This window comes from Homo sapiens, chromosome 20 (genome assembly GCF_000001405.40).
Source record: "Homo sapiens chromosome 20, GRCh38.p14 Primary Assembly".
NCBI lineage: Eukaryota > Metazoa > Chordata > Mammalia > Primates > Hominidae > Homo > Homo sapiens.
The window spans coordinates 40,449,605-40,469,795 of NC_000020.11; the positions used below are offsets into that span (position 1 = coordinate 40,449,605).

At 41.4% G+C, this 20,191-nt stretch overlaps 1 long non-coding RNA gene across 1 annotated transcript; it reads right to left on the minus strand.

Moving 5' to 3' along the window:
* Nucleotides 1-5,359: 5,359 nt before the first annotated feature.
* Nucleotides 5,360-18,135, minus strand: LOC105372618 (uncharacterized). The gene is made up of 3 exons (XR_936718.3): nucleotides 17,103-18,135; nucleotides 14,716-14,837; nucleotides 5,360-8,620 (listed from the first exon to the last, which is right to left on the minus strand). It is a non-coding gene; the product is annotated as an uncharacterized LOC105372618 (long non-coding RNA).
* Nucleotides 18,136-20,191: the final 2,056 nt, after the last annotated feature.

Below are 20,191 nucleotides of genomic sequence, written 5' to 3' on the forward strand. Positions count from 1 at the left end.
TTACCCTGTTCACTTCAAATCACCAGTGCCTGGCATAGGACCTAGTATATAAGAGGTCCAACAAATGGTTATTGAATGAATGAATCAGTCAACCAATCAATCAGTTAACCAATTCATATCTTCCCAACTTTGAGGAAAATACACATATCCTGAACTGTACTAGAATGTGAGTTCCCTAAGGATGGGAACCATGAACATAGATTTTCAATAAACTTGGTGAATTAATTAGTTTTCCCTAATATCGATGTAAAGGAAGGCTCTTCTTTTCCTAGAAAGACTGTCTTTCTTAACAGAGCTCATGGTCACAGGGGAAACACAGAGGAGCAGAAAAGACTCTTAACAGTGTCCACTCATGCCAGCACATGGTCTGTCTGTAGGAGTATGGGTACAAATGAAAAGTGGTGACAAATATTACTCTTACAGCAAAAGACTGAATAAGAACAAAACTAGAAATTGTAGCTGCAGCCACCTCTCAAATCTATATGATTTTTCAGAGCTATCAAGTTTCTTTATCCCATTTGATCCAAGACAATGGAGTGAGTCCCACTTTGACAGATAAAAAGATAAAGTGACTCAACCAAGTTTCTTCAGCTCCTCAGGGGTATCACCAGGCCAAGAATCCTGGTTGTCAAGTCGAGCTTCATTTTCAGGATTCTTTGTTAGTATAATGATGAAGACTGTAATTTTCCTTTGTTTCGCCTCCTCAGCTCAACTATAAGCAGATCCCGACTTCAGGAAGCATCCAGCTAAATGAGTTGGATGTGTCCCTCCAAAGGTTTAAGCAATGAATTATTATTTCACAGGTGCCTCTGATTCACCAGCTCTGAATAGCTGGACTGGTTTGGCTTGTTTACACGCAAATGCAAAAGCCATTAGGGAGCCCCAGTTCCAACACTGCAGATTTTGTTCTAAGTACCAACATCCCAAAATGCTCTCCATTACTTATCTGGAATTTCAAAATCATGCAACAAATGTAAGTTACAGACAAGATTTTTTAAAAAATAATAACAGCAATGCCAGAGAGGAAAACAGAAAAAAAGAAAGACAATATTTTTCAAATATTTTCCCAACTGTCATTTTAATAATGGCCTATCAACAAAGTATGCTAATTTCCCTCCACAGATACCTGCGAATGCAAATGCAAAACAAATAATAATTAATGTCTCTGTGTGAAAATCAAGCAATTTCTATTAATTCTGCATCAGACATGAGATTATGCACATTCAAAATCATGATCTGTTTTCAACAGCAACAGTGACAATTGTAAAGAAGAAATGGTGAGGGGAGGCTCTGGAGTTAACAGAATCCACATAGCCATCCTTGATATGACCTCTCCCAGCTTCCCAACAAAATACAGTCAGCTCTTCATATCCACAGATGCAACCAACCACAGACGAAAAATATTCAAAAGGAAAAAATAAAAACAACAATAAAAAATAAAACACATTTAAAAGTACAGTATAACAACTATTATATTTACATAATACCTTACATTAGGTATTATAAGTAATCTACAGATGATTTAAAGTATATTAGGGGATGGGCTTATGTTATATGCAAATACTAATATGCCATTTTATGTAAGGGACTTCAATATCCACAGATTTTGGTATCTGTGGGGTTCCTGAAACCAATTCCCCACAGATACCAAGGGACAACTATATATACGAACACTCTTGGAACTAAGAAGAGTAATCAACCAAGTGTCAAATTATAAGCAAAAGTTTTACTAGCTATAGCATAAAAGGAAACTGATAAAAAATAATATTCTTGATGGTGAGTACTGACATCTGAACCAGAGTATCAAGGCTGGAAGGCACTGTTGAGCCCTAGCTCACAAGCAGAGACTCCAGATCTTTGCTGATTAAAAAAGCAGACACCCTCCTCTCTGGTATGCTCCAAGAGCTTCCTAAACCCATCCTCCCTGAAACTACCAAGAATGGTCTTCTTTTTTTTTTTCTTTATTTCAAAAAAAAAAAAAAAATTGGATACCTATTGACCCGTCCTCTAAGTTCCCTCCCCTCACCCCTCACCCTCCATGCCCCAACAGGCCCTGGTGTGTGTTGTTTCCTTCTGTGTCCATGGAAAACCAAACACTGCATGTTCTCACTCATAAGTGGGAGATGAACAGGAATGGTTTTCTACTTCAGTTTATAGACTATCATCTGACTGCAATGTCACATGGAGGGAAGTGGAAGAGATCCAAGATGGGATATGATGCTGGCATTAGGCAAAGTCATAAAAGGAGGCCTGGAAGCTATGCTTCTTAGAGGTTGTGAGGTTTCAGATATTATTTCTACCAAAGGGTAGAGAGAAGACTATCTCAGAATGTCCAGAAATAAATGATCTGTTTCACACTCAAAGAATCAGGGAACAAAAGATCTCACAACAGTCCAGCAAAGTACATTGTAGTCAATGCATGAAGGAAAATAGAAACCCATCCACAGCTATGCTGTCCAACATAACAGGCACTACTTATATGTGGCTATTTAAATTTAAATTAATTAAAATTAAATACAATTAAAGATTCAATTCCTAAGTTCATAATCACATTTCCAGGACTCAGTAGCCACATGTAGCTAGTGGCTAGCATATTGGACAACATAGATAGGGAATGTTTCCATTGTCATAGAAACTTCTATTGGATAGCTCTGATCTAGAGCCTGAAAAGCCTGAAAACATAAACTCCAAGTGACAGATATCTTTCACTTATTCATCCTCCCCTACTCTATCCCATGCTCCCAGAAGGCAGACCTCTATGGCATATGGTAAAGGACTTCTTGTTCTTTTTTTTTTTCCAACTAACTTTTATTTTAAGTTCAGGGGGTACATGTGCGGGTTTGTTACATGAGTAAATTGCATGTTGTGGGGGTTTGGCATACAGATAATTTTGTCATCTAGGTAATGAGCATGATACTCAATAGGTAGTTTTTCAGTCCTCTCCCCTCTCACCCTCCACCTTCAAGTAGGCCCCAGGGTCTACTGTTCCCTTCTTTGTGTCCATGTGTACTCAATGTTTAGCTCCCACTTATAAGTGAGAACATGCAGCCAATACTGTATATTTGGTATTCTGTTCCTGCATTAATTTGCCTAGGATAACGGCCTCTAGCTGCATCCATGTTGCTGCAAAAGGCATGATTTTGTTCCTTTTTATGGCAGTATAGTATTCCATGGTGTATGTGTACCACATTTTCTTTATCCAAAACACCACTGAAGCACACCTAGGCTGAAGGAATTCTTGTTCTTTGGTCTCTGGTTGACTTCAGCGATAGGAGGGCACTAGAATGACACTATAGGACCAGAGAGTGAAGTGAGGCCTTTGTTGCTTTGGTTTCTGACTTCCTCCCTACTGGTCATTGTGATTTAGATGTCCCTCTGTTAAAAGCTGTCACTCTTGGCAGGCAGCTTTCCATATAACTATTCTCTGGGCTCTGGTAACATTTCCCTCCTCCTCTTGATCCTTCAGGCTGAGGGTAGGTAAAAATGCCTCACAAGCGACTCGACTTGGGGCACTGCATCATCCCTTTTTTGTTTTTTGTTTTTTTGTTTTTTTGAGACAAGAAGTTTCATTTTTGTTACCCAAGCTAGAGTGCAATGGCATGATCTCCGCTCGCTGCAACCTCCGCCTCCCGGGTTCGAGCAATTCTCCTGCCTCAGTATCCCAAGTAGCTGAGATTGCAGGTGCCCACCACCATGCCAGACTAATTTTTTGTATTTTTAGTGGAAATGGGGTTTCACCATGTTGGTCAGACTGGTCTCAAACTCCTGACCTCAGGAGATCCACCCACCTTGGCCTCCCAAAGTGCTGGGAATACAGGCATGAGACACTGCGCCCGGCCTGTGTTATCCCTTTTTAGAGCTCCTAAACTCCTCCCACACCCTGGGAAATGATCCCTTAATAAATCTTTTGTCAACTACCTACTATGAGGATGTTATGTTTCCCCTGAGTGAGTACCCTGATGGGTCAGATTCTGCTCTAACTTAAGTCTGAGGAAATGACTTTATCAAAATCTACAGAGACCGCAGAATCTATAGTCCCCTGGGGCAGACCATGGATTTAGAAATATGTCTTTCCATTTAACAATGATTAAACAAAGGAAAATAGCACAGGAGTTAGCAAATGTTTTTCACGAAAGCCCAGAGAGTAATATTTTGGGTTTTGGAAGCTATACAGTCTCTGTTGTAATTACACTGCAGTGTAAAAGCATGTAGCCATAGACAATATATAAATGAATGAGTGGGTCTGTGTTCTAATAATTTCATTTACAAAGACAAGGAATAGGTTGGATTTGGTCCATGGACTGTACTTTGCCTAAAGATGCCAAAAAATGCATGCCTCTGAATTTATTTACTATAAAAAGAAGAAAATATATATATATATATATGTACGTGAGTGTGTGAGTATGTGTGTGTGTGTGCACGTGTGTGTGTAGTTCTCTATAAACTGCAAGAATGTATGGCTTCTAGGAAGAGAAGGAGATAAAAAATGAAACAAAATGCAAAAGCAAAATGCAGGCTAAGGTGAAGAAAAGTCTTGCTGAGATATCAAAGAAGGCAGAGAAACAATTAATACACTCTTAGAATTATAGTTTACATTAGAAGCAATAAAGAGCAGAACTTATACTGCAGAAAACTAAGTTTCAGAGAAATAATAAATTTGAAACATATCTTTTAGAATCTGGAGTTGAAAATAATGAGCAAACAGATGGCATATATGAAGAATAGAGAAAAGTGATCCAATTTACAAAAAGAAAATAGTGTTCCTTTAAAAAGTCTCTAAAAAAGTAATGACACTGAAACACCAATCAAATCTATATTAGAACATTCTTGAACTGAAAATAAAAGATCTAAAATTGCAAAACAAAATGGTATACTCTGCACAAATCATAATTGATTTAAAAAAAAAAAGAAACCCACAGCTTGATAGCAAGGAAAAAATAACTTATAAGTATCCCAGGCAGAAAACAAAGCAAAGCAAAAATAATAAAAACCACATTGTTTGCAAAAGATTAAAAAGAAAAAAAATCAGATTGGGTTGACCTCAGAACTCTCCTTGATGAAAAATTAAAAATAAACATAATGGCTCACAATGTGGAAATGGTTAGGTGTACTTACAGTACAACCAGATGTTAGAATATTATGCAACTATCAAAAACAATATAGTATTAAGACAAATATAATAACAAATATAGTATTAAAAGAAAAACAATATAAGTATCTTCCAATCTCATTAAAAGATTGGAAAATACTTAGGATAAAATATTTAGAAAGAAAGTTAGACACAAGAACATATATAATATGCATGTATGTGTACTAACACATCTACTGTATTTCTTTCTAGCCTTTTGTCTACCTGTATATGCAAGTAGAAAAATACTGAGTATTATTTGCACATCCTGCACCACTCAATAGTTTAATTCTCCCAATATATCTATGAAATAGTAACAATATATCCCACAGCACACTTAAGAACACTGAGGGTTGGAGAGGTCACGAACTTGTCCAGATCATCCATAGTTGGTGGCATAACCAAGATTCCAATCAAAATCTAAAATGAATATGTTTCCCTTATGCTAGCTTAATGAGGGTGGTGGCTGCGCTCTGTGGGAGGGGAGGAGATAGGAAGGATGAATCTGGGTCCTGAGAGAGGATAAGGCCCTGGGTCTTGGTGCTATCAGCAGTAGTTAGGCTGGACAGATGGGACCAGTTTTCCTTTACCCAGCATAGCTCTGAGATGTCCCTTCAGAATGTCAGCAGTGACCCATCTCCCTCTGGCCATGATCTCACCTCTGGGGAGCCTGGAAGAACCAACAGAATTCAACAGAAACCCCAGGGCTGGCTAACTTGAAGGATGACTGATGTTTTACCAATTTATCAAAATATGAATTTAATGTTGTAATCTCCTTACATCACTATGATAATTCTCTGTTTATAGTTAGAAAAACCTTAGGAGGAATACTACTATCTCCTCTTCCAGAAGAACAGATCAGGAGCAAAGCTACAAAGATTGTACACAGTTCTGAAATATTTACTTCTTCTGAAGGAACATTTTATAAAGTCAAATTTCTGTGCTGGGCTTGCTGATGGACTTAAGTCTTTGGGCAGTTTTACAGACAAAGCAGCCAAAACGAAAAAAGAAAAAAAAGTAAAAGAAAAGATAAAAAGAGGATACCTTTCTCCAAAAGGTGGTCAGTAGAGAAGGGTGTATTTGTTCAGGACTTTCAAGTTCTTTATGAAGTGAGAGACTTTGCTCATTTGTTAATTGATGCATTCATTCACCCGAAACATCTTTATGAAGCATGAGCCGCAGAGTTGGACTCACAGAATAAGAAGAAGTATCAAAACATTGCTCCTGTTTCCAGGAACCCACAGTCTGGAAAGGCATGGGTGGGGGTGTTTAAAAAGGAAAGAGAGTCACATAACCCATTGTGTGGTTTAGAAAGCCCATTCTGTGAAATAAGCAAGTGGTAGAACCAACATATATTGCAAAACCATTTATTTGAATACAAACAAAACACATCCAAAGTAATGCTATATAAATATGTAAACATATAAAGACATCAACTAAATATGTTATCACATTTATGATTCTGGTTGCCTTTGGGGAAGGAAAAAGAATTAGAAGAATTAGAATGCAGGTGACTTCCCGTTTATCTTTAAAAATGTCTTTCTTAAAAAGAAGGTTCAAAATAAACACAACACAAAAAAAACACACATTGTATGACTGTATTTTTGTAAAGTTCACAAATAGGCAAACTAATCTATGCTATTGGACTCAGGATAGTGGTTACCTGTGATCAGGTAGGGTGGGGGAATAACAAGAAATGGGCAAAAGGAGAGGCGGGTAATGTTCCTTTTCTTTTTGTGGTACAGTTATATGACTGTTCACTTTGTGAACATTCAACAGATGTACATTAAGATATATGTACTTTTCCATATGGGTGTTATTTCAATAAAGATAGATTAGATAGATAGATAGATAGATAGACGATAGATGATAGATAGATAGATAGATAGATAGATAGATAGATAGATGATAGATAGATAATAGAAAGAATAGAGGAAAAGCATCTGTTGATTTGGAGTAGCAAATATATGGATATTAGCTATAATATCTCTGCACTTTTCTATATTTTTAAATGTTTTTTCCTAATTATGTAAATAATAAAAACATAGAAAAGACAACTCTAGCTGCCCTATAGAGAAGTTAGAGAGTGGAGTAGGCAGACCAGCTAGGAAGTTATTGCAGGAGCTCAAGTTAGAAAAGATGGGACTGGAGGGCCAGGTACGGTGGCTCACACCTGTAATCCCAGCACTTTGGGAGGCCAAGGTGGGCAGATCACGAGGTCAGGAGATCGAGACCATCCTGGCTAATACGGTGAAACCCCATCTCTACTAAAAATACAAAAATTAGCTGGCTGTGGTGGCGGGCGCCTGTAATCCCAACTACTCAGGAGGCTGAGGGAGGAGGATCGCTTGAACCCAGGAGGCGGAGGTTGCAAGTGAGCCGAGATTGCGCCATTGCACTCCAGCCTGGCAACAGAGCAAGACTCCATCTCAAAAAAAAAAAAAGCAGGGGAGAAGATAATGGTGAATTTACAAGGTCTGGTGACCATGGGTTATCCCTTCGGTTGCTCTGTGGACTTTGAGCAATCCATCTGTGTGATTAACCCCACACACCAAGGTCTCAGTCACCCTTGAACATGGGAAGAACCCCTCATCATCTGCAGGGTGAGATGTGTTTTGCCCTGAAATCCCCTTCCCCAGTGCCTCCCCTTAGCCTGCCCTCCTCTGATCCTGAACCCCCAGCCAAGGACTCCCCCAGAGCCCTTTAATTGGCTTAAACACTAGACAGGAGATTCCCTGGCAGGGGTAATCCATGATTGAACTAGGGATAATCAGCATGATTCATTTGTCTGATTAAAAGCTCTCACTCCCCATTATCACCTACCTGAGAGGAAGCCACACAGGGCTCTGACAGCAGGTAGGCAAAGGCTCAGGGCCTGACACTGTGGCGGGGTGGGGAGGGGGGCAGAGTAGAAAGTGATTGAATGACACAGGGCACAAAGCTCACAGCAGCACTTGTCCAAAAGGAACTATAGAAACAAAGGAATGGGAAGGCCGGTACTCACAACATGGAAAATATCCACCTGGTGGGGCTCTGTGGGACCATGCACATCCCGCAGAAATGCCTGTGATTTGGGGACGTTTTTCCTTTGATCCTCATAGATAAAGGGTTTCTGCTTCCCCGCCTCAGAAAGGAGCAGTTTGTGTCTGAGCACTTGCTATTCCTCTCTTCATTCCCTCACTCCTTCCATTCTGTGAGAGGAGAAATGATTGGTCTGACTGGTGAGTGAAAAGAGTTTTCCATTCACTGCACCATATTTGCCAGGGCAGAGTTGCCATTCTGAATCATGAGGTTTCCTCTCAATCTCTCTGTCCTCTATTCTTTTGGACATTGCTATTCTCAGAGGGAGCCCACTTTTTGGCATCCTCTATGTGGTCAGGTCATGAGGGCAGCTACCTGCCTTTTGCAGACCAAAAGGGCCTGTGTTCTCTTTGCTTCACTTTCTTCGCATGCAACAGGTTGAAGAAACTCAGCCATCCTAGTACTAGAGGCCTGGGGAGAGAAAAAGCAAACCCCCTTTTGCCGAATGTTCCCTGTAATAGATTGTATTATTGTTCCTATTCTTTATGTCTTCCTGTACCTTTATCTTCTGCCTGTGCCTTTGGCATACTCCCCACCAAAGGAGGGGTATATTTACCTGCAGGTCAGTTGACATAGTCTGGGCTTTAATCCATGCTACAGGTTGGGTCCACCTCTGCCTCACACATCTCTCCGTCTCCACAGATCAGTGGGCCAGTTCCATGCAGGCTCTTCCCATGGAAATGGTAGGAGAGCAGAAGCTTATGAGTGGAGACATGAGTTTGTTCATAGGATTTGCTTTGGCCAAAGTAATGTGGGTAGAAGTAACTATGTGAACTGTGTGCTGGATTCAAGCCTGGGTATTAGAAGACATCACATGTCTCCACTCACAAGCTTCTGCTCTGCTTCTGCCATTTCCATGGGAAGAGCCCGCATAAACTGGCCCACTGATCTGTGGAGAAGGAGAGATGTGTGAGGCAGAATTGGACCCAACCTGTAGCATGGATTCAAGTCCAGCCTATGTCAACTGACCTGCAGGTAGATAAGTGAGAATAAACGCTGCTTCAGGACACTGGGTTTTGGTGTGATTCCTTGTGCAGCATTATTGTAACAAGAGCTAGCTGATACACCCCATCATCCCTGGTTCTCCAGGTCAGTAAAGAAAACTATCACTCTAGGTTATAATGCTAATATTTTGCCCAGTTTGGCTGAATGCTTTGGGTTTTTACTTTATCGATCAAGCCGATGGAGAAAAGTTTCAATAAGTGGGAGGAGTAGAGCACAAAGTCTAGGGTAATCATATGTCCCAATGGGCCTGGATGGCCCTAATTTATACCTGTTATGCCAATATAATTAATAATAGCACCCTTCTGTCCAAAAGTACATCCTGGTTTGGATGATTAAATTATATCACCCTAGCCAAGCCCAACAAGATCCAGCCTAAACCATGTCTTCCTTACACTAACAATGGGCACCCCTTTGTGGTCAGTAGATACCCCAGAATTTTTTAAAAAGCCATGTCCTGGAAGGCAGGAGGCCTGGACAGCAATTCTCATGGCAGCAGGTGAGGTAAAAATAATACTTTTCCTAAATGCAGTCTATCTGCACAAGATTTTATAAAAGTGCTATGGGGTATTTTCTGAGAAATAAACTCCTTAATATGACTTCATGGTAAGAGTTCTATTTCCTTTATTCTCAGGAGTCCTAGGGAAGAAAAATATGCCCCCTGGCAGTGTTCCATAAAACTAATGATGTGGGGGAATACGTGAATAATTGCCTGAATCGCCGGGTTACATATCTGTTAGGAAATCTCTTGGCAATATAAAGAAGGGGCTCAGGACAGTTAAATTGAAGTCAAGTGAAATAAACTCCTGCTGCATCAGCTCGATGATCTTGTGGGTCAAGGGAGCTGTGGCAGCCCTCTCTGCACTTTGGGAATGTTGGGCCTCCAAGTTTTCTGGGTTCAGAGCAACAGGGACATAGGATGAGGAGTAGAAGGAAGGAATAAACAGGCATGGACCAGACATTGCAGGGATGCAAAGGGAAGTTCTGGAGCCAAGTCTTCAAAGCTACAGATCAAAAACTCGGGCAAGGAGCAGTGGCTCATGCCTGTAATCTCAGCGCTTTGGAAGGCCAAGGTAGATGGATCACTTGAGGCCAGGAGTTCAAGACCAACCTGGCCAACATGGTGAAACCTCATCTCTCTGAAATTCAAAAATTAGCTGGGTGTGGTGGTGGGTGCCTGTAATCCTAGCTACTTGGGAGGCTGAGGCATGAAAATCCTTTGAACCCAGGAGGCAGAGGTTGCAATGAGCCAAGATCATGCCACTGCACTCCAGCCTGGGTGACAGAGCAAGACTGTCAAAAAAAAAGGGAGGGAGAGAGATAGGGAGGGAAGAAGGAAGGAAGGAAGGAAGGAAGGAAGGAAGGAAGGAAGGAAGGAAGGAAGGAAGGAAGGAAGGAAGGAAGGAAGAAAGGATGAAGGAAGGAAGGAAGGAGAGAAGGAAGGAAGGAAGGAAGGAAGGAAGGAAGGAAGGAAGGAAGGAAGGAAGGAAGGAAGGAAGGAAGGAAAGATTACTGGTGAGTGGTCAGATAGATGGATGGATGAATGAATGAATTCTAAGTGTGGGGTTATTCCTTGTGCAATATTGATATTGTACTTCATAATATTATACTTCCAAAATTATTAGAGTAAAAGGAAATGATTCAAAAAGCAAGGAAAGGTTCAGTGTGCTGAAAAATACAGTAAGCCCAATTCCTTTCTCACCCACCCCACTCTCAGCCACGGAAAGAGGACTGATACTACAGCATCAGAGACCATCCAAGACAATACAGTTGTCCCTCAGTATCCTCAGGGGATTGGTTCCAGAACACCCTGTGGAAACCAAAATCTGCAGATGCTCAAGTCTCTAATATAAAATGGTATAGTATTTGCATAGAACCTATGCACATCTTCCCATATACTTTAAATCCTCTCTAGATTACTTATACCTAATACAAGGTAAATGCTATCTAAATAGTTGTTATACTGTATTGTTTGGAGAATAATAAGAAGGAAAAATGTCTACACATGTTTAGTACAGATGCAACCATCCTTTTTTAAATTTGTTTTCAATATTTTTGATCCACAGTTGGTTGAATCCACAGATGTGAAACTTATGGATATAGAGAGTTTTATGTTTTTTGAGAGAGAGATGGGGTCTCACTATCAAAAGCCTGGGGTTGCCCAGGCTGCTCTTGAACTGCTGGGCTCAAGCAATTCTTCCACCTCGCAATCCCAAAGTGCTGGAATTACAGACGTGTGCCACTGCACCTGGTCCAACTGTGTTTTAAATTATTCTTCCAGGGTAATATAGAAATTTGGATAAAATTCTTGAATTTGAACAAAGTAGACACCAGTTTGCACAATGCAGGACATCAATCCATCCATGCCCTTTGTCTCCAGATATCTGGTGTGGATGTGCATTCATGTCAACACAACTTTTTAAATTGCATTTTTTCCTCCTTCTCACTCATGTGTCTTCAGAGTAAACTGAAGAATTATTTCAGTGGAGCCATAAACCTCTCGGTCTCCCAAGACATACATATGGACTCCATGTCAATTTTCTCTCCCACACTGCACCTGAACTATTTCAAACTATCTTCCCAGTTGACCAAACCAGAAACCTCAGAGTCGCCCACTACTCTGACCTCTCTCTAACCCCCAACCCGTTAGTCTTTCTCTCATAAATCTCTCTGGTTCTTCCAGCCCACAGCCTGTCCACTCTCATCCAGGTCTCCACCACATCTCCCCTGGGTTGTAGGAGAAGCTCTTAGCTGCCTCTTGGCCTGGGCTCTCTCCTTTAAATCCATCCTATACCTAGAAACCAGAGGGATTTTTCCAAAACAGAAATTTGACCTCCCTGGTCCCCTGGCAACCCATCAATGGCTTCATGCTGTCTTTAAATTAAATCTGAACCCCATGTGAGGCTCTGCACAATTCGGCCTCTGCTTGTTCTTCCAGCCTCATCTCACCACTCCCTGCTTCTCACCCGAGGCCTAGCAGCAGCCTCCATTTCTCTGGCTCCTTGTTTTCTGTCACTTTCAATCATTAGACCTCCTCTTCTAGTTCCTGGAACTCAATTGCTCACTCCATCTCAATCCTTTTTTTACCTAAGCACGATTCTTTCACTCCACAGGTTTTGCTGAAGTATCCTACCATATTCTGCAAGAGAGTATCTCAACATCCTCCTAGCTTAACACTTAACAACATAGTATTATGTTAGCTTGATCAACTCACTCTCCTCCCCTTGTCTGAAAGATCAAAAAAGGCAGCCCCAGGCCAATCGTGTTTGTGTTCCTAGCACCTAGGCCAATTCCTGACTTAAAGTAGGTATTAGAAAAAACTTTTTGAATGCCAGACAAATCCATGAACTGAGGACAACTCTTTGTTTATTCAACATATATTAATGGAGGGCCTGATATGTGTCAGGTATAGTTCTCAGCGTGTGGGATACATCAGTAAAAAACATAAAATGCCTACCCTGGTGGTGCTTACTTTTCAGATGGAGGGAGACATTTATTTACATATTTAACAAATATTTATCCGGCAGAGAATCATTGCACACACAAAAAAGATGGGGTGGCCTGGCCAGACATGTACATGACAGATCAGTTCTAAAATATTTTCCTTGTTTTTAGTTTCTACTTCAATGAAAAATTTGTCGTCATCTTAGTGTTACCGTCCTGGAAATTCTCAATGTCCTCTTTGCCTGCTCAATGTTTCTCTGTAACAGTGTTCATCATCTAATATAAAGAGCAACACAAACACATAGTTTGTGCTCAATCAAAGCTTGTGGAATACAGAAACAAACAAGAAACTCCAAGAGCTCATTCAGTAAACTTACAAACAAGTAAGAAGATGAGCTTATGATCAGCCTGCTCAAAGCAAAAGAAAAGGGAAGGAAACAATTTTTCTAAGAGCCCTTCAGAAAAGGGAGAAAAGCTTTGCAAAACTCAGAGAACCCAGGAGCAGTAACTGATCTTTATGATCCAGTACAGAAGCCTGAGTAACCGCAGGCTGTCTCAGGTTTTAATACAAGGTTATTTACATAGTTACCTAATTATTATGTCTCAATAGAGGGAAGGAAAAAAAGCAAGTGTTTTTCTACTCCCTATTTGCCTTAAAGATCTAAGGGTAATAAATTGTTAGTTTTATTCTTAATTGGTACATGCTTCTTCCAATTTCTTTTCTTTAAAAAAATCAATACGTGGTTTGCGAGACCTTTAATGGAGAGTAAAGAACTGTGACTAGACTTCTTCCTTATTATTGAGATAATCTGTCAGCATTTATCTTTTAAAGGGGCCTCAGGTAAGGCAGACATGATTAAGTTTTTGCAGTAGTAAATGCTGGGCCATTTCTAGAGTTAAAATGATATGAAAAATATAACTGCATCAGGCTATGCCTGATAAAAGACAGTGTCTCTTTTGCAAAAATGTGGGCTGTGGGTCTGGTCTGCTGAGGCAGGGCTCCCAACATCTTGGAAATGTTGTGCCCAACCACTGCCCACTGCCCTGGCCGAGCTCCTGCCCCCACTGAGCTTCGGGAAGTGACTGCGGCTGTTCCCAGCGAGCCTGACCAGAGGCAGAGGCCACTGGTAACCTTAACCCCACGTGGGCAGGCCCTCGTCAGAGCCTCTCCCCAACCCTAAAATTAACCAGTAAGTTTTTGGAAGGGGAGGTGGACAGAGAAGTGCAGGGCCCTGTTTGCTCTTTGGAGCCCAAAGGAAACAGGAGCCTGGGAGCTGACACCCTGGGCCTGAAAAATTGTAATTGTTAGACAAGCCCAGGCATGTGAACAAGAGCTTCCCTACCCCAATCTGCAAGGCAGACACCCTGAGAGTGTTAGAGTTGGTATGGGCAGGGTCCTTCACACTCTGAAGTATGTGGTTACCCAGCAGGCTGGTGGGCAGAGCATGGAAAAGTCCGAATCAACCATAATCAAGTAAATGGCTAAGGCCGAGTTCAGGTAAGGCCCTGCCTACAAATCCAACTCACATTACCTGTGCACCTCATTGTGCCTGTGCCAGACAATGTGCCTCAATTTAACCTTTGCAAAACTTGTCTGATATGGACATTTGTATTCTCGTTTGATAGATAAGGGAGTAAGGGCTCAGAGAATTTAATTAACCTTCCCAAGGCCACACAGCTAAATGGCAGGACTAAGATTCACTATCAGTCTGTTGTACTTCTCAAGTTATCTTTGCTCTACCAAACATCCCAAGCAAAGAAGTTAACATGATGTAATGGTGAAGAGCATGGGCTCTATAGCCATAGCGCCTAGGTTTGAATCCTGGCTCTGCTACTTACTAGCTATGTGGCTTTAGGCAAGTTACTTAACTTTTCTGTGCCACAGTTTTCTCATCTGGAAAACAGGGACAACAGTTGTATATTTATCATCGTGTGATTAGGAGAATGTAAATATGTGAATATTTGTCAAGTACTTAGAAGAGTCCCTGGCGTATAATGAATACATATACATGTTTCATGTGTGCTAAATAAATAAAAGAAAGGGATCTTTTCATTCTCACCACACAAGAGTTCATTTTCCAGTCTCTGGACTCAGAAGAAGGTGTTTTGCAGTTTCCTAACATCATGGAGTCCGAAAAGTGCTTTTGCTACAAGGGTCTCACTTTACTGTCACAACAGCTGTCTAAAGAAGAAAGGAAGATTAGACCCATGTAACAGAAGAATACACTGAGACTTGACAACATGAGGACCTTTATAAGGTCATTTAGCAGGTAAATAAAGAGCAAGAAAGATCCAACTCGACCTTTCTGACCCTGAATCCGTGCTATGCCCACACTCTAAATAAAAGCATGAACTTGTGAGTTTGTGGATGAAAGCTTGGCATTGCGTCCAAAATGAGGCCATGGGACAGACTGCTGCTGCCATTTAACCCCAGGTCCTGAGAAATTCCTCAACCCTTCCCATGAGTCAGGGACTCCTGGATTCAGTGCTGCTGTGGACTGCCCATTATGCCTCTCCCCTGTACTCAGGAGATGGAAGACTCTCTAGAGTTGACCACTGTGAACCAAAGACAATAGAGTGTTCTCTTTTTGCACAAAGAACAAAACAGAACATCAAGAGTCTTAGTGATTTATTCAAGTCACATGAGTTCAATGAGTAGGGAACTGCATCAAGAGACAGCTTCCAGTTAATTTTATGAACCTTATATGCATTGCCCAATATGAGTGTTCAACCCCATGGTTCCCTGTTTTTTTTGGGTTTTTTTTTTTTTTGTCTTTTTTTTGTTTTGTTTTTTTGTGCAATCAATGACCTAAATTCTAGGGAAGTTAGGGTAGAACTAGAGAAGACAGGGAAGAGCAAAAGAAAACAAAATGTGCTCAGTTTGGTTCCGAGGAAGGGTGCGGAAGCTGGATCCAGATGGTGGGGGTTTGGGGAACTGGATAAATCAAGAGAGTTGAGGTCCTTGGAAAAACTGAAGACGGATGTTTTCAAGGACATAGAAACATGGCTCGTAGCAATGCTCCTGGAGGCCCAGCAGAGACCAGCAATACTTGATCTCGGGGATCAACATTAGTGTCTTAATGCTGGTTATTGTCCCAAAGTAAGTAAGGTGTGCAGTGTTCAAGATCTGTCCCATTCCAATGATGAGGAAACCAAGGACCAACAAGAGGTGTGCATTTTAGAGCCCCTCCCCATCCCAGGCCAATGACCACAAAACCGATTCTGTCCCCCTTCCCCCACAGGTAGTGCCTATGCTCCTGATCCTCCCCCAATGGGACAAGGACAGGCCATTTGACCCAAGCCTGTTCCTCAAGAGATTGACAATAAAAATGCCCACATTTTAAATGTGTACATGCTACAATTTTCTGATTATAAAATCAATACAAGCTTATTTGAAAAGAACTTGGATCTGCTGGTATGTGCACATCCTTTCTTCTGCAATGAATCAAAGGATTTATTACCAATGGTTTCATCTGGGAAGATTGTAGGTGAGAAGGAAGATTTTGGATTTTGTTTTTGAGCTGTTTTAAATTGTGTGTGTGTGTGTGTGTGTGCATGTGTATGTGTCAAAAAGATATCTGGGAAATGGGATTGTAGACCACTTCGTTTTGTCTTATTATGGTGTCATCTGTGTCTCCATAGTAAGAGAGAGAAAGAGGAAAAGGAGTAGGTTAATAATCAATCTTAAATAATTTGAAAACTAAAGAAAATCAAAATCAACAGTAATCATACCATCTAGATCTAAAGGCTCATATCATTTTAGCATACCTTCATGCTGAAATAATGAGGATTATTCTATATCTAAATTCTAAATTATTCTTTTATTTATCCTTATTTTATGTTATGCCACAAATAATTTTACATATCATTAAATATGCTTCAGAAGCATCCACCTAATGGCTGTAGAGGGGCCTTCCTAGAAAATAACTTTTTATCTATAAATTTCATGTTCATTGAGCACTTCCTAGGTGTCTCCTGCCAAGCACAGCTTCCATGGCGAGGGTTAGATGACACACACCATGGCACAATGTGTAACCAGATGGTTTGATGCCAGAGACTATGTGCTTAACCACTTTACTTCTACATGGAGCATGGTTTCTTAAGCCAACCTTCCTCTGTAGCACATGTACATTGTTCCCAATTCGTCACTATTGAACAACCCTGAGATGTACATCTTTGTCCATAGATCTTTACATCTCTGAGTACTTCCCTAAGTGAACACTTCACAAAAGAGTTGTTTGACTCATAAGAATAAAAATGTTTAAGGCTCTTGATGCATTTCCCTAAGGAACCCACTTAGCATCTCCACAACAGGGTTTGAGAAGGTAAAAATTAGAACTCTTTTTTTATTTATTTGTGACTTATTTCATTACAGTTGAGCTGATTTTTCAGTTTATTAGCCATTTACATTTCTTAGTAGTCAACTTATTGTTTTATGTTAACTCACCTCACTGATACAGTAATAAATTTGGTGTTCCTTTAGTGTAGGTATGGGAAATTTCTTCAAAAATCAACAATATTCTTGTCTGGAACACTGAATTATTTTCTAGAATGCAGATGCATTGTCGACTTATATGAGTGCTCGTCCTGGAAGGAAACAGATGGTGCCCTGAACGGGGATAACCGAGGAGAGTTTATTATAGGGAGCATTTACAAGGGTGTGAGCAGGGTTAAGGAGACCCAGAAGAGTTGGTGCAGCATCCGGGGGCTGGCAACACAGAGGAGCCATTACCTCCCCTCAGTTTAAAGGGGAGGGAAGAGCCTGGAGAGAGTAGCTGTGGTTGTCAGAGAAGCACTAGGCAGGGCAGGATGCAGCCAACCCTCAGAAGGTAATACTCTGGTGTCCTCATCTCTTCCACCTCAGGGTGCAGGGTAGAATTGCTACACTATCTCCCATGGGTCTCATGGTAAAGCAATAACGTCTAAACAGGAAGCCATTAAGGCCTCTATTTTGATCAAAAAAACAGCCTCTGTAAATCCAGACAGGATCCCAGGGGACCAGCATCCCAGTTCAGGGCCTAAGCTGTAGCTCCAACTGGCTCCGCCTCCTCTGTGTGTTTCCCTTCCTTGATGCTTTTAAAGGAAGTTGCTGTCGGATGGAAGGCAAAACTTAGGTTTTCTATGGCACAGTTTTCAGGAAGGGCAAGTCACTCTTTGGCTCTTTGGGAAACTCCCTCACCCCATACCCCACTCAGACCACCTCCAAATGCTCTAGGCTGGGTCTGCCATCAATCCCTGATAACAGACACCCAAGGGAGATGGTGTAGCAATTCCACCCTGCACCCTGAGGCTGCTTGTCTCAGCATGCAAGAACAGCCTGTGCTGCGGCAGGAAAAGTCTCCTCGAGCCTGTGAAAGAGACGAAGGAGAGCAGGGCATTACATATAAGCCAGAGTGACTTGGAAGTCTGCAGCCTGTCTCCTTCGAAGGAAGACAGACAACATGTATAAGAATAATGGCTTACATCAATGGGCCCCAACCTCTGGCCACATACTAAGCCAACCATTTCATCCTCATGACAATCCAGTGAGGTAGGGACTATTTTTATCCCCATTTTACAGATTAGTAAACAAGATTAGTAAACACAGAGAGGTTACAACTTGCTCAAGTTCGCTCTGGTGCCTTGAGCTGGTGAGATGGAGGAAGTGAAATGCAAAGTTAGGTGGGTCTGACCCCAAACCCTTCACACACATCTTCGTGCTGCACTCTGAGGGAAACGACATAGGGCCTGGGATAGAAGCCTGATTCAGCTTCAAAGTATTTTAAATCTCTGAGCCTCAGACTCCCTCTCTATTAAGAAAATTAATTTTTTAAAAGCCATTGATTCCATTAATGCCCCCCCCGATTGTTGTAAAGCTCATAGGAACTGCCTGCATTTCCCCGGTTATCACATGACTGTAATTTGCTTGGTTGGGTCTCTGCTCACAGGTCAGCTCAACCAAGAGGGTTCCCCTGGTAACCCATGCAAAACAGCAGGGTCTCGCCTCCCTGCCCCACCACCCAGACATCCTCTTACTTCTTACTCTATTAATTTTTTCTCATAGCACGTAACACTAGCTGGCCCATTATGTGAGTGTGTGTATGTGAGTGTGTGCGTGTGGTGTATGTAGTGTGTGGAGTGCATGTGGAGTGCATGTGTGGATTGTGTGTTTACACATGTGTACTTTTTGTTTAATGTCTGACTTCGCCTCTATATGGTGAGCCCCAGGACAGTAGGGACCTTGCCTGACTAGCCCACCAGAGTGTCCCCAGTACCAAAAATGACACTGATACAGTATGGATATTTGTCCCCTCCAAATCTCATGTTGCAATATGATTCCCAGTGTTGGAGGCAGGGCCTGGTGGGAGGTGTCTGGGTCATGGCCTCGGATCCCTCATGAAGAGCTTGGTGCCTTCCTGGAGATTATGAGTGAGTTCTTGCTCTATGAGTGTTCATGAGAACTGATTTTTGAAAGAGCCAGGCACCTCTCTCTCCTCTCTCACCACGTAACACCTGCTCCTTTTCACCTTCCACCATGAGTGGAAGCTCCCTGAAGCCCTCACCAGAAGTAGATGCCGATACCAGGCTCCTGGTACAGCATGTAGAACTATGAGCCAAATAAATCTGCTTTCTTCATAAATTACTCAGCCTCAGGTATTCCTTTATAGCAACGCAAGCAATCTAAGACAGGCACCTTGGCATATGCAAGGTGCTCAACAAATATTTGAGAAATAAACAAGCAAACAACAAATGGGTAGTGAATGAAATTAAACTGTATGGTACTTGGCACATACTAGTCACAAAATGTACTTATAAAATTTATTTTATTAGACTCTGAATGCCAGGTGACTTATGATAAATGAGTTCACATAAAATGAACAAATTTTTGACCTATCCTAAACAAAACACAAGAGCCCGTATGCGGAAGGGGAATAGAAGTATTCCAATAACTTCTTTTTGAGAAGAGTTATAACAATTGAGTATAAATTTAAGTTATGAGCTTCTTATTAGCAAAAGCAAGGAGGTAAACCAGATGAGATGTCACAATTCTATTAGATGCAGAAAGCAGTATACTATCACCCAATGCTAATATCTTATCAGATACCTTGGGTGAACAGGAAGGTATTATGGCTCCACTTGGCCTCAGCAGATCTGCTTGAAAGAAATGACACAGCATTTAAATTTTGTTCCATGTGGTCGACTCAGTCCACTTTCTCTTCTTTCTCTACATGCAAGCCTATATAACTAGTTCCCTTTAGGAGGAAAATGCCTGGCTTCCATAGTTTTCCCTTCTACAGCAGAGGTGCTGAATAGGATGAGCTATGTGCCCATTTCCTAGGTTGACCAGACACCTTCTGAGACTGCTGTGAGATTTCCTGGCAGGGATCAGTTCACAAATGTAGCATGCCTCTTCAAGAGTGAGAAGACTTTGAGGGAGATATACCTGAGAGCACTCAATAATTGAAAGGCAAGAAACACCACAACCAGAGCAGCCTCCCAAAGGCAGGGACAATCTGTCCTTGGAAACAGCAAACTTACTCAAATTAGAAGCCTCCG